The 13260-nt window shown below is 36.4% G+C and overlaps 1 protein-coding gene across 1 annotated transcript in view; it reads right to left on the bottom strand.

The window, feature by feature from the left end:
- Positions 1-13260, bottom strand: part of MTREX (Mtr4 exosome RNA helicase) — a 117591-nt gene that overhangs the window by 52097 nt on the left and 52234 nt on the right. Inside the window, exon 16 of the mRNA NM_015360.5 lies at positions 6608-6758. Coding sequence (NP_056175.3) covers positions 6608-6758 — 151 coding nt within the window. The remainder of the gene's footprint in view (positions 1-6607; positions 6759-13260) is intronic.

Raw genomic sequence — 13260 nt, 5'->3', positions numbered from 1 at the left:
CATCTTCCTCAACAAATAAATTTTTGTTTCCTTCCTATAAGTCTCTTCATATTTAGCTATCCAAAAGTTCCCCAAATCCTGTCCTCCCTGGACATTTTATAGTGACTTTTAATTAGATGGACATAATTCACAACTATATATAATTAAACAAAAAAATACATAATCTAATACTAATGGAGTAAAAAAACCCAAGAAAGCCCATTTATTTAAAATTTTTGGGTCTCTCTATATAACATTTCTTCCTCCAAGACATAATACAGAATCCCCTTTAAAATGGTGGTCTTATGACCTATAATAAGACAAAGTAAGTCAAAAAAAATTTATTATGAACAGATCTAAGACAAAAAGACCAAAAAAAAAAAGAAATAAAAATAAAAATAAAAATAAACAACCCTGCCTTAAATAAATAAATAAACAAAACTAGGTTAAAAAAAATCTAATTTCTAAGGCCTATTTCTAAGGCCTAAAGTGCCCCAACGTTTTAACAAGACTATATATAACAAAGGGTATAAAAATTATAAGCCAAAAACCATAGACAAACACACACACACACACACACACACACACACACACACACACACACACACACATTACAGTTTTAAATTTTGGTAAAATCCAATTTCTTTTTTTCTTCTGTTGTTCATGCTTTTGGTGTCACAGCTAAGAAATCACTGCCAAATCCAAAATTACGTAAATTCACACCTATGTTTTTTCCTGAGTTTTAAATTTTTAGCTCTTTATCTGAGTTACTTTTTGTATATGGCGTGAGGTAAGGGTGCAACTTTATTACGCATGTTGCAATCCTTTTGTTTCAGCACTACTTGTTGAAAAATCAATTGACAACAGATGTACAGGTTTACTTCTGGACTCACAATTCTACTCCACTGATCTTTATCAAACTGCTCTATGTAACCAGTGTGCTTCAGTTTCTTAATCTGCAAAATGAGGATAACAATAGTGCACGTATCCCCACAAAGCTTTCCTAGGGACTGATGAAAGACACAGAATATACTTAGCTAACAGTATAGCTCATGGTAAACAGAAAGGATATTGCTACTGTATTGTTATTATGTTTATTATCATCATCAACCTTTTCACAGACTGTTCCTAGAGCTCTAAGTTCTAGTCTTTTGTACTACCTTGGGCATACTGCATCATCCTGGTTATTTTTAAATGAACTGCATCACTGCTTACAGGAGCTGTATTTCAGTCATTAAAGACTAGAATACCATCCGTAACAACACGCATTATGGCAGTAAACATTATCAGGAAAAAAAATTAAACCCTATAAAAGAATATTTGACAGACTAAAGTCATTAAGAGTTACACGAAAATGGAGACTGCACACTGAAATGATGATCCTGCTGCCCCGCCCAGAATTACATATAACATTCTATTTGTAGGAATCAGGGGAGCACTAAAGGCAGCACAGACCAGAGGAATTTAAGAAAATGATATAAGGAAATATCTATGGGGGATAACAGGGAAGCATCCAGGAAGATTTTCTTTTTTATATCACTCCAAATCACTTCAGTGCTCAGACTATTTAACTAGTGAGTCAAAAGTCTGAAAGACATTTTAAGAAGTCACATTTATTTTGTAGTTAGAGTCCAGGACTCTAACTACAGCTACATACCACTCCAGAAAATTATTAACTTTAGGTACAGTCTTTTTTCTCCATATTAAACAAACAAAAATCAGTTTCTCTAATCTTTTCTCATGTTAAAAAAAAACTGGTTTTATGTCTTTCAAAATTGATAATATACATGTAACAAATTAGAAAACAAATACATAAATTAATGAGGCAACTTGTTTGTGAGACTGCCACTATGAAGCAAATTAACTTAATTTAAGGATAGTACCTCTTCCACCCCAATCAGACAGTTGAGGAACTTTAGTATAAGAAGCTAGTTTAACTGCAGTGCAAATGAGAAGGCCTCATGGGTCATTGCCATAGGAAAGCCTCAGAATTTCAGAAGATAGCATGTAAAATATGCCCACAAACTCTTAAGACAGCTTGCAACCAATTTCTTCCTCTCGAGGAAGATGAGAGATGGTGGTTGCAAAAACATATTTATAGTATATAATATAGTGTATAACAGTGTATACAATAGATAAGCCTGGGAGTGACTAGGAAATGAACTGCCATGCTCAGAACTAAGCAAATTTTACAAGTAAAAGCACAGATTGCTTTACTGCTCTATGGCAATACTATCATTTTTGCAACAAGCACTTACTGAGCATTTAACATAGATTATCTCATTTAATTCTTAGAACTTGAATGTACTGGATATTATCCCAACTTCATAAACAAACTGAGGCTCAGGTAGCCTTGATTCAAACCCTCATTTAACTGCACAGCTCTTCCTATTACCACTGGCATTATTAATGAAACTAAATAAAAAGACTAAGATTAAGTATGCATTTTTCATTTCAGTAAGGGTAGAGTAAAATCCAAGGACCTCTACTCTTATGGCTCACTGAAAAATGTACTGTTGATTAGATAAATCAAAATGAAAAACATCTCATGTATGTGAGCCATCTATTTGTTACAATGAATAAAACATTCTACCAATTCTACACTTCCAAAGACAATAGCCCACATTTTAATTTTGTTATATTTAAGGTGGTAAAAATAATACCAGTGCCTTGAAAAGGCTCTAGTAGTATCTGCAACAAAAGAAGTATACTCCTGCAAGTAATGACTGAAAATAGGAATGAACTCCATTCAGGATGTATTCTCTCACACTACATGGTCTGTTTGATCATTAACACTCAGCTCTGCAAACTGTACTAGAGGTGTTTCAATTCCCTTATTTCTCTTTCATCACTCAAATTCCTACCTCTTCCATTAAAAAGTATGTTATACTTTTGACAGTATTTTTACTTACTGGTTTCAGGAAGTTAGAAAAACAGAGCCTGCCCCTTTAAAACCAGAGGTAGAGAAATGCAGGGATAATTAAATTCCAAGTAGATACAAGTATTCAGAGGCAATGCCAGTGAGCAAAGATCATGTTACTCACAATCCTTTTAAAAGGTAAGTCAGAACCACATTGAAAAAACAAAACACAAAAGCTGGGGACTGTGAAGACAGAGGACATGAGATGGAAATGTCTACCTAAATGGAAGAAACCGAGGCAAGATTAACAGTTTATGTGGGCCAAGGCTGAGGACTGCAGCCAGAGATATACTTCTAAGTTCAGGAAGTGCTCTAGAGACAAAAGAGGGGCTCCAATTTCTAAAGAAAAAGGGATAATCAGGGCCAGGCACAGTGGCTCATGCCTATAATCCCAGCACTTTGGGAGGTCAAGGTGGGTGGATCACCTGAGGTTGGGAGTTTGAGACCAGCTTGACCAACATGGAGAAACCCCGTCTCTACTAAAAATACAAAATTAGCTGGGCGTGGTGGTGCATGCCTGTAATCCCAGCTACTTGAGAGGCTGAGGCAGGAGAATCACTTGAACCTGGGAGGTGGAGGTTGGGGTGAGCCGAGATCGTGCCATTGTTGCCATTGCCTGGGCAATAGGAATGATGAAACTCCGTCTCAAAAAAAGAAAAAAAAAAAAAGAAAAAAGAAAAGAAAAAGGGATGAATTAGAAGAGCGGCTAGATTACAAAAGCTGTCAGGAATTCTCATTGGTAAAAAGAAATAACACGGGTTAGTGACTGGCTATACAGTGGCTTCAAAAGGTAATTATTTAGTTCCAAGGGTAGGAGACTTGAGACTTGACTTCGGTTATATTTTAAATGACTTTCTCGGCCTGAAAATTGAAAGGGGCTCCCATTCCTCAGGTAAAAGGTTTTCTTTTTAATTTATCAGAGAAATGGTGGAATGTTTAAGTTCATTGAGTGAGCAGTAGAATCCTGCTCTAAGTCATACTGAACAATCTCTGGGTCCAGCCAGAAGTCAGAAAACAGGCTTTAAAAAAATGGGATAATATTTGGGAGTTTTCCCTCTATCCTCCACTGTACCAGGGATGCTTTTAAAAAGTAATTTACTGCTTATCAGAATGTAAAAAGAAAAAGAAACAAAACAAAGGTAGGTGCACCAATACACACTTCTGTTTCACTTGGTTATTCAGTCTCCAAAACAGTCTAACTGCTAGCTGTGTGTGTATGTATAATTATCCTACTCATGCATGACTGTGCTAACTGCTTAGGAGGAATACTTTAATTTCCTTTTTTAAGTATTAAACTAGCTTGTAATCTTACACCTGTTTCAATGACAGCATCTGAAATTTCCATAAGGTAAAATTAATATTAAGTACTAATCTGATTTTAACACCTCCTTAATTCACACTCAAATCCAAAGTGTATTTAAACCTTGTTCATCTTTATTATTTTTATTTTTAATAAAATAAAATAAAATTTATTATTAATACAATTTTTGGTGGGAGAAAGGGATTTATAGCTCTTTTAAAAATACACTTCTCTGAGACTAGAATCATACTTTTCTATCTCTTTGCTAAGACCAGTTTATCAGCCAAACGAGGGGCATTATTAATAACTTTTACAAGAAATTAATAAAATGTAATATGATTTGAAATTATACATTGGTCATGTTATAAGGTTTTTAAAAAAAATTCAAAAATCTGCTTATGGAAATTTACTAAAGGTGAGTGTTGAGATCATCCAGCTCACATTTTAAGAAACTGTCAGTCATCTTCGATTTTTTTTTTCAATTAGAGAGGTTACATTTATTCTCATCACTTTATTAATGGTGAAACCCTGTATCTACAGAAAATACAAAAATTAGCCAGGCATGGCGGCACATGCCTATAGTCCAGCTGAGCTGGGAGGATCAACTGAGCCTGCACTGAGTTGTGATCGTACCACTGCACTCCAGCCTAGGCGACAGAGCAAGACCCCATCTAAAATAAAGTAAAATAAGAGTGGAATTGTCCTATATACTCATGATAGAAAGGAATCTCCAATTTGTCCTGTTAAATAAATCATGATAGTTATAAAATTGAAACATTATTCAGTCATTAAAAATCATGCTTTCTTGAAATTAAAACTTTTTGTTCTTTTTTTGAGATGGAGTCTCGCTCTGTCACCCAGGCTGAAGTGCAGTGGTACAATCTCGGCTCACTGCAACCTCTGCTCCCGGGTTCCAGCAACTCTCCTGCCTCAGCCTCCCAAGTAGCTGGGATTACAGGTGCCCACCACCATGCCCGGCTAATTTTTTTGTATTTTTAGTAGAGATGGGGTTTCATCATGCTGGCCAGGCTGGCCTCGAACTCCTGACCTCAAGTATCTGCCCCCCTGGGCCTCGCAAAGTGCTAGGATTACAGGTGTGAGCCACCACACCTGGCTGAAATTAAAACTTCAAAAGTCAGAATCAATGAGCTACTAAATACAAAGCATTTAATAAAAGGCTAGGCGTAAGGTAAATATTTAACAAATGATATTAATTATAAGCATTATCATTACCAGTATCATTATTACAAAAACTCCACATCTAAATTTTGCCTTTAAAAAGCAAACTTATTCGTGAAACAAAATAGAAAAACTCCAAAGTGTTAACAGTGGTTGGGTAGCTATTTCTGTGTGAGATTACAAATGATTTTAACTTTCCTCTATCTTTTGTCACATTTTCTTTCTCCTTTTTACGATGACTACGCACAATATTTTTATAAGATTTATCCAAACCAGTGGTTTATTCTTTTTCACATTCAAATGAAAACCAGTACTTTAAATCGTTGCCTCCATTTTAGCTTTTAATCAGCTCTTATGACCATCAGTCACACTACCCTCTAAGGTAAGAATCAATGTACAATTCCACTTGAACATAATTACCACAGGACATTTACTTTTTGTGCTTTAGTAAGCATTACCTTAATATTAAGAACTGAAAATTCCAAAAAGCTAAACTCTAATCCAAGTTAAAGCATTATATTTCCCTAAACATTCACAGGCTTATGCCAGGGCACTCTTTTATAATGAGAAATGGTGAAAGGACAAGGCTAATAGGCATGTGCTGCTTTTTTTTTTTTTTTGAGTCGGAGTCTCCCTTTGTCACCACGCTGGAGTGCAGTGGTGCAATCTTGGCTCACTGCAACCTCCACCTCCCGTGTTCAAGTGATTCTCCTGCCTCAGCCTCCCAAGTAGCTGGGACTACAGAAGCCCACCACCATGCCCAGCTCATTTTTTGTATTTTTAGTAGAGATGGGGTTTCACCATGTTTGCCAGGATGGTCTCGATCTCTTGACCTCGTGATCCACCCGTCTCGGCCTCCCAAAGTGCTAGGATTACAGGCATGAGCCACTGCGCCCAGCCGCATGTGCTTTTTACAGGTCAAGTTTTAATATACTAGGCTTTGTGTGTTATTTCATTATTCAGGACCATGAGTTATATGACATATATGCACAAGACAAGAATTATACTAAATTTGAGCCAACTATAGAAAAGTTTCCTGCCAGGGTTTTCTTTCCTTCATTTTGAAATGTTCTATTCAGTTACAATGACCAGACTACAGTTGTGCAGTCCATTACGTATGAACCAAAATTTACCTTACAAAAACAAAAGCCAAAGCAGCCAATAATGCAGACATTTTGCTAGTCAGTCTCCTAGCTACACTAAGCTCTGTTATGGTATTTTATACTTACTCTCTACTACTCCTGGAATTGCTCTATAATGCTGAAACTGGTAGAAGGATTTTTCCAACATGTACTCAGGATTAATTTCTTCTACACGTAGTAAGTTCAAAACCATGTTGTAGGTCAAATGGAAAGCACTATTTAGAGGATCAGCGGAGCCCTAAGAGAGAAAAAAAATGTCAATTTTGTAGTTTTCCAAATAAATTTACACAAGTACCTTTAACCTACTATAATGCTCAATAACAGTCTACATTAAGAAATACTACAGAAATGTATTAGTTCTACCCTTTAGTTAACCAATATAAAATAAAACCACAGGTCTTTGGGAAAGTGAAGGGAAAAAAAAATCAGTATGAAAGTATTTAAAATACTGTTTGCCAAATGTGTAGCTCTCTGCCCTCTAAGCATATGACAGGATTGCTCTTTGTGGTCCCCCACTGCAAGGCTGCTCACTGCAGCCTTGAAATCTTGGGCTCGAGCAACCCTCCAGTCTTAGCCTCCTGAGCAGCCGTGATTACAAGCATGTGCCACCATCCCCGGCTAATTTTTTATTATTTTGTAGAGATAGAGGTCTCATTGTATTACCCAGACTGGTCTTGAACTCCTGGGTTGGCTCAATCCTCCAACTTCAGCCTCCCAAAATGATGGGATTATAGGCAGACTATTCTTTATCTACACTTTAATTCCTTTTTGTCTTCCTAACTGTGGCTGTTACTCAAGAGCTAGACTAATGACTAGACAGTATAAAATATTTTATTGTAAAATAAGTTATACTGTAGAATTTTATTGTAGAATAATGCAACCTAAACTCACAAGGTTTATACCCAAAATAGTTCCTTCACACATAAACTTCTCTTTCAGCAGTGTCTCTTCAGAAGTTTTTTTTTTTTTTTTTAGATGGGGTCTCGCTGTGTAGCCCAGGCTGGAGTGCAATGGCGTGATCTCAGCTCACTGCAACCTCTGCCTCCCGGGTTCAAGCAATTCTCCTGCCTCAGCCTCCCAAGTAGCTGGGACTACAGGAGCGTGCCACCAGGCCCAGCTAATTTTTTGTATTTTTAGTAGAGACGGGATTTCACTGTGTTAGCCAGGATAGTCTCGATCTCTTGACCTCTCCGCCCACCTCAGTCTCCCAAAATGCTGGGATTACAGGCATGAGCCACCGCGCCCGGGCCTTCAGAAGTATATTTTAATAAAAATGCTTCAGAAGTATGAAAATGGTTGTGTAGTTATTTAAATAAGAGAATGACCAAATTCTCGGACGATACATGTAGAAACATTTAGAAGTGCAGTATCACTATGTAGGCCACATATTTCTAAATGGCATAGCAAAATACACAAATACTCTTAGAGTACTCCTGGGTTCTTAAATTGAAGTCCACAGGACAACCTTATGAAATCCAGAATTTTAAATGTATGCAGTCAGGATTTTATGCAGAAAAAGGGGAGACTTCTCATCTGTGTCTCAAGTAAGGATATTTCTTAGTTCCTGAAAACTCAAGAGCCACGTACTTTAGGAGGATAGTTAGTAAGTCCCTAAAACCTTGATCTTTACCCACTTTCCTTAAAAATAGGGCCAAAAGGAGTGGTGAAGTTAGTAGGAAAACTAGATTCTTGGAGAAAAGAGAGATTAAAGAACTTCATCTACTTTATAATTTTGCAAACACATTGTTTGCAGACTTTCCTGTTATTTTTTCTTCTATGATTATGTCCACCAAGAAATCTCGGGTTTCAATATAAGAAATGTTTATTTCTAACCCCATGCTCCGCTTCTATATTCCCAACTGCTGTACAAACACCCATGTAAATTCTCAGTCACCTGAAACTCAACATGGCTTTTTGACATTCTACCCAAGTAAGCCCAGCATAGTTCCAACTTACACCTGCTGTACCAGTGTAATGACTAATAGTCCCCTCTTTCACTCTGACAGTATCCCAATTTGGATGATAAATAACATCACTATACTATCTAAAATGAAATTTCTCTCTCTTGCTCTTCCTCATTTCTGACCAACTTTCTCTTTCACATATATTGATGGTTAATGAGTTACTCATTTAAATTCCAGCTTAGGAGTTTGTTTATTCTGCGTTCTCTCTCCCTTTTTAATCAATTATTGCAGACTATTTACTCAATTTGTCTTAGATTAGTCCTTTTGTTTCTTTACCACTGCCACCACTCTAGTCCAAAGGTTCATCAAATCATACCTAGATTATGACAACTACCATCCTAACACCTAGATTACTATAACTACCATCGTAACTGTTCTTGTTTCAATGTCCTTTCCAGTTTGACTTGCCGCTGCCAGATGAATCTTCCTAAACATGCTTTCGCTGTGACATACTACCCTACTCAGCAATAATATATGATTACTTAAAGTCCCTGTAGGTACTGAACTCAGTTTCATAGTTTATACCAAATTTCATTTTATTTTCCCCCAACGAAATAGAATGGAAAATAACATAATACATCATAGCAGAAGTGTGTTAAGAAACTTTTATTTCTCAAACACACACCACACAGAAGTGTACTGGACATGTTGTAAACTCTATTGTTTTCTAAAGAAAAGGGTAAAAATGGGAAATACTGAGGCTCAGAACTGAACACCCAATTTAGCAATCAAGTTAATAAGCTTATGTCTCTCATCTATAAGTATCCACACAAATCCTCTGTCTTAGCAAAACTAAGAAATCCAAATACATGTTAATTCTCGATGCTAAAGCCTCTCCTGTTTCCTAAAGTATCATTCTTTCTTTTTAGCCATGAAAATTAAAACGTAACCCCCACTCTGATTCCATTCCTTTGGAGCTTGCCCCACCTACATTCCTCCATAAAGCCTTAGACCACAACCATCTAGTCCAGAATCATCTCAAATTTCCCTGAACTAGAATTATCAGAACTTATATTCTAGCACTGGGCCATATATTGCTTCCTGTTCGCTTTCTATGCATGAATGTAGATATATTCCTTAAGTTTAGAAATGATCACCATTTACTGAGGGCTTAGCATATGCCACTCACTGTACTAAATAAATACTAAATCTTCAATTCACAACATTCATAACAGTTTTCTGTCTCCATTTTAAACAAGAAACAGAGGCTTAGAGAGGTGCAGGGAACTGCCAAGACTAAACAAATAGGAGCTAAAATCTAGGAGTATCTAGGCTTAAAGTCTTCATGGAGGGCAAGTCATATTGGAACTTATTTTATATACCTATCAATCCAATACATCCCTCATATTACTAAAAATATAAGAACTCTTTAAGTGTTGATCAAGTACTCTTTTTACATATTTAATTTCATCAGTTAACTAAAACAATGTATCAAGAGACAGCCTAATAAGAGGATCACCTAAAATTTAACTGAAACAAGACAGGTAACCAATGATAAAGACATTATGTAAACTTTGAAGGATTCCAGGAAAACTTCGAAGAATTCCTTTTTGCCAATTTGCTTACTGAAAAGATACTAAGATTGAGAGAGCCAAACATACCAATTTTCTAGAAAAGCTTTTGTAATATTTTATAAATACTAATATAATGATCTCTTACATTTTAGAATATATGGTTCATTTAGGCAAGTAGTTCTAAAAATTAACAGGCTAAATATTTTTGCATTATGAACCATAAACGTGGAAGATGAGGAAATAAATAAATGTGAGTCTTCCCACTTCTTCAAAAAAGGCCTGTACATTGTTATCTTATGTACAGTTACAGAACTAACTTTAATAGAATAGGTATGTGCTTCTTAAATTTACAAATAATTTAAATAACCAGTAAGGTCAAAATTATTTTTCCTTCAATTCAGGAAAATTTGATTCATTGTTGAAAAGAACACACCACTGACTAGAAGTATCACACTATTGAAATGAGCACTTTATGTACTCTAAGTAACTAGTATGTTTATTTAGTAATTTCAGAAATTATAGAAATGGTTTTATTTTGATAAAACCAATAATAACATTTACTCAAAGTACTGTGATATTTTTACATTCTTTGGAAAATATGGGCACTATATTGGAGCATGTATTTCTTCTAGTTATACTGGAAAAATATAATACCTAACCGCTAACAAATAAAAGATGCATTCACCAGTCTTTCTGAAAGGCTGTTTAATAATACACACTTTCTCATTTACTCAACTTTTCATTTGAACACACATTATGAAAACTGATTTTTTTTTATAGCTCATATCAAGTAATCAAAAATGTATCAAAAGAACTGCTGTCTTGGCTGGGCGTGGTGGCTCATGCCTGAAATACTAGCACTTTGGGAGGCCAAGGTGGGTGGATCACCTGAGGTCAGGAGTTCAAGACCAGCCTGGCTAACATGGCGAAATCCCATCTCTACTAAAAATACAAAAATTAGCTGGGCATGGCGGCACATGCCTGTAATCTCAGCTACTTGGGAGGCTGAGGTAGGAGAATCACTTGAACCCAGGAGGCGGAGGTCGCAGTGAGCCAAGATCACACCACTGCACTCCAGCCTGGGTGACAGAGCGAGAAACTGTCTCAAAACAAAAAACAAACAAACAAAAAAAACAAAAAAACTGCTGCCTTATGTCAAATTCTGTTTAAGCTAATAGCAGATACTTCAACAATAGCAGGACTGGAAAAGTTGAAAAGGTTTCTCTATTGCTCCTTTAAAAATTCGCCAAGCCAGCCAGCGCGATGGTTCATGCCTGTAATCCCAGCACTCTGGGAGGCCAAGGTGGGCAGATCACTTGAGCCTGGAGTTCAAAACAAGCCTTAGCAACATGGCAAAACCTTGTCTCTACAAAAAATACAAAAAAAAAAAAAAAAAAAAAATTAGCCAGACGTGGTGGTGCATGCCTGTAGTCCCAGCTACTTGGGAGGCTAAGGTGGGAGGGTCGCTTGAGCCCTGGAGGTCAAGGTTGCAGTGAGCCGAGACTGCACCACTGCACTCCGGCCTGGGCAACAGAGCAAGACCTTGTCTCCAAAAACAAAAACAAAAACAAACAAACAAACAACAACAACAAGGCTGGGTATGGTGGCTCACGCCCGTAATCCTAGCACCTTGGGAGGCTGCGACAGGAGGATCCCTTGAGCCCAGAAGATCGAGATCAGCCTGGGCAACAAAGGGAGACCCTGTCTCTATTAAAAAAAAAAAAAAGGGCTGGATGCAGTGGCTCACGCCTGTAATCCCAGCACTCTGGGGGGCCGAGGCAGGCAGATCACCTGAGGTCAGGAGTTCGAGACCAGGCTGGCCAACATGGTGAAACCCCGTTTCTACTAAAAAAAATACAAAAATTAGCTGGGTGTGGCGGCAGGTGCCTATAATCCCAGCTACTTGGGAGGCTGAGGCAGGAGAATCACTTGCAGTGACCAAGTTAAAAAATTACTCAAGCCATAAAAATGAAGGAAAAAAATTATTAAAATATTTCAAATTCACAATCATTAAATTATTTACATGCTCAAATATATAAATATGTGTGTGTGTATGAATGTACTGAGATTTTGAAAGCTCCAACCAGCAACAAACACATGTATTTTGCCATGTTTCTAACACCAATAGGAAAAATAATTAAATATGACAAATAGACTTGAATTATACTAATGTATAAAGTAAACCTACTATTTCTACATATAAGGTGACTATGAAGAAGCTACGTATTTTAATTTTTGAGAAAATGACTTTAAGTACTCAGTATTTCTATTAAAGTTCTGAAATTACTTAAGAATGATCAATTATTTTTGCCTATAAGAAAATATACCTGACATGACTATTTTTTAGCCTATCTACTTTAAGTACATCAAAGAACAAACTGTTGTCTCATGTCAAATAGTGTTTAAACTAATAGTTGAAAAATCTATTTGCAAGAGGTACTGAGAAGCAGTACCATATAGTAGTTAGAAGCATAAACTCTGAAATCAGACTGCCTGAGTTCAAAAGCAGGATTTGCCATTTAACAACAACATAGCTCTGGACAAATTTTTTAACCTCTGCATGCCATTTATAAAATGGAGATAATAACATAATTATTGTAATTAACATTTGGAACATATTGAATATTCAATAAGTATTAGTTGTTACAAATACTGAATAAGTTACTTATAAATTCCTTAATGATAGTAAAACCACCTGGAAAAAAACCTAGAGGAAAAAGGTTGTATGCCAGTCTTGATAAAAGAAATATGCCTAGAAATGCAGACACAAAAACAGGTACTCCTTTCAATCAGTCAAACTGTATAATATTCAAAGTGAAATGTTCTCCTTCATACCCCAAGGATGGCTATTAACCAAAAGGGCAGCTAACAAGTGCTGGCTAGAATGTAAAGAAATTAGAAGCCTCATATAATGCTTGTGGGAATGTAAAACGGTGCAACTACTAAAGAAAACAGTCTGGCAGTTCCTCAAAAGGTTACACATAGATTTACTCTATGACCCTGCAATTCCATTCCTAGGTACACAGTCAGGAGAAAAGAAAACACATATTCAAGTAAAGACTTGTAAAAAAAAAAAAAAGTTCATAGCAGCATTACTCACAACAGCCAAAACATGGAAACAATCCAAATGTCCATCCACTGATGAACAGATCAAGTTTGGCATACCCATACAATGAAATATTATTCAGCAATGAAAAGGAATGAAGTACTCATAGATGTTACAACATGCATAAAACTTGAAAACATTAGGCTAAGTGAAAAA

Source organism: Homo sapiens, chromosome 5 (assembly GCF_000001405.40).
Source record: "Homo sapiens chromosome 5, GRCh38.p14 Primary Assembly".
Taxonomy (NCBI): domain Eukaryota; kingdom Metazoa; phylum Chordata; class Mammalia; order Primates; family Hominidae; genus Homo; species Homo sapiens.
This window is presented reverse-complemented; position numbering and strand designations above follow the sequence as displayed.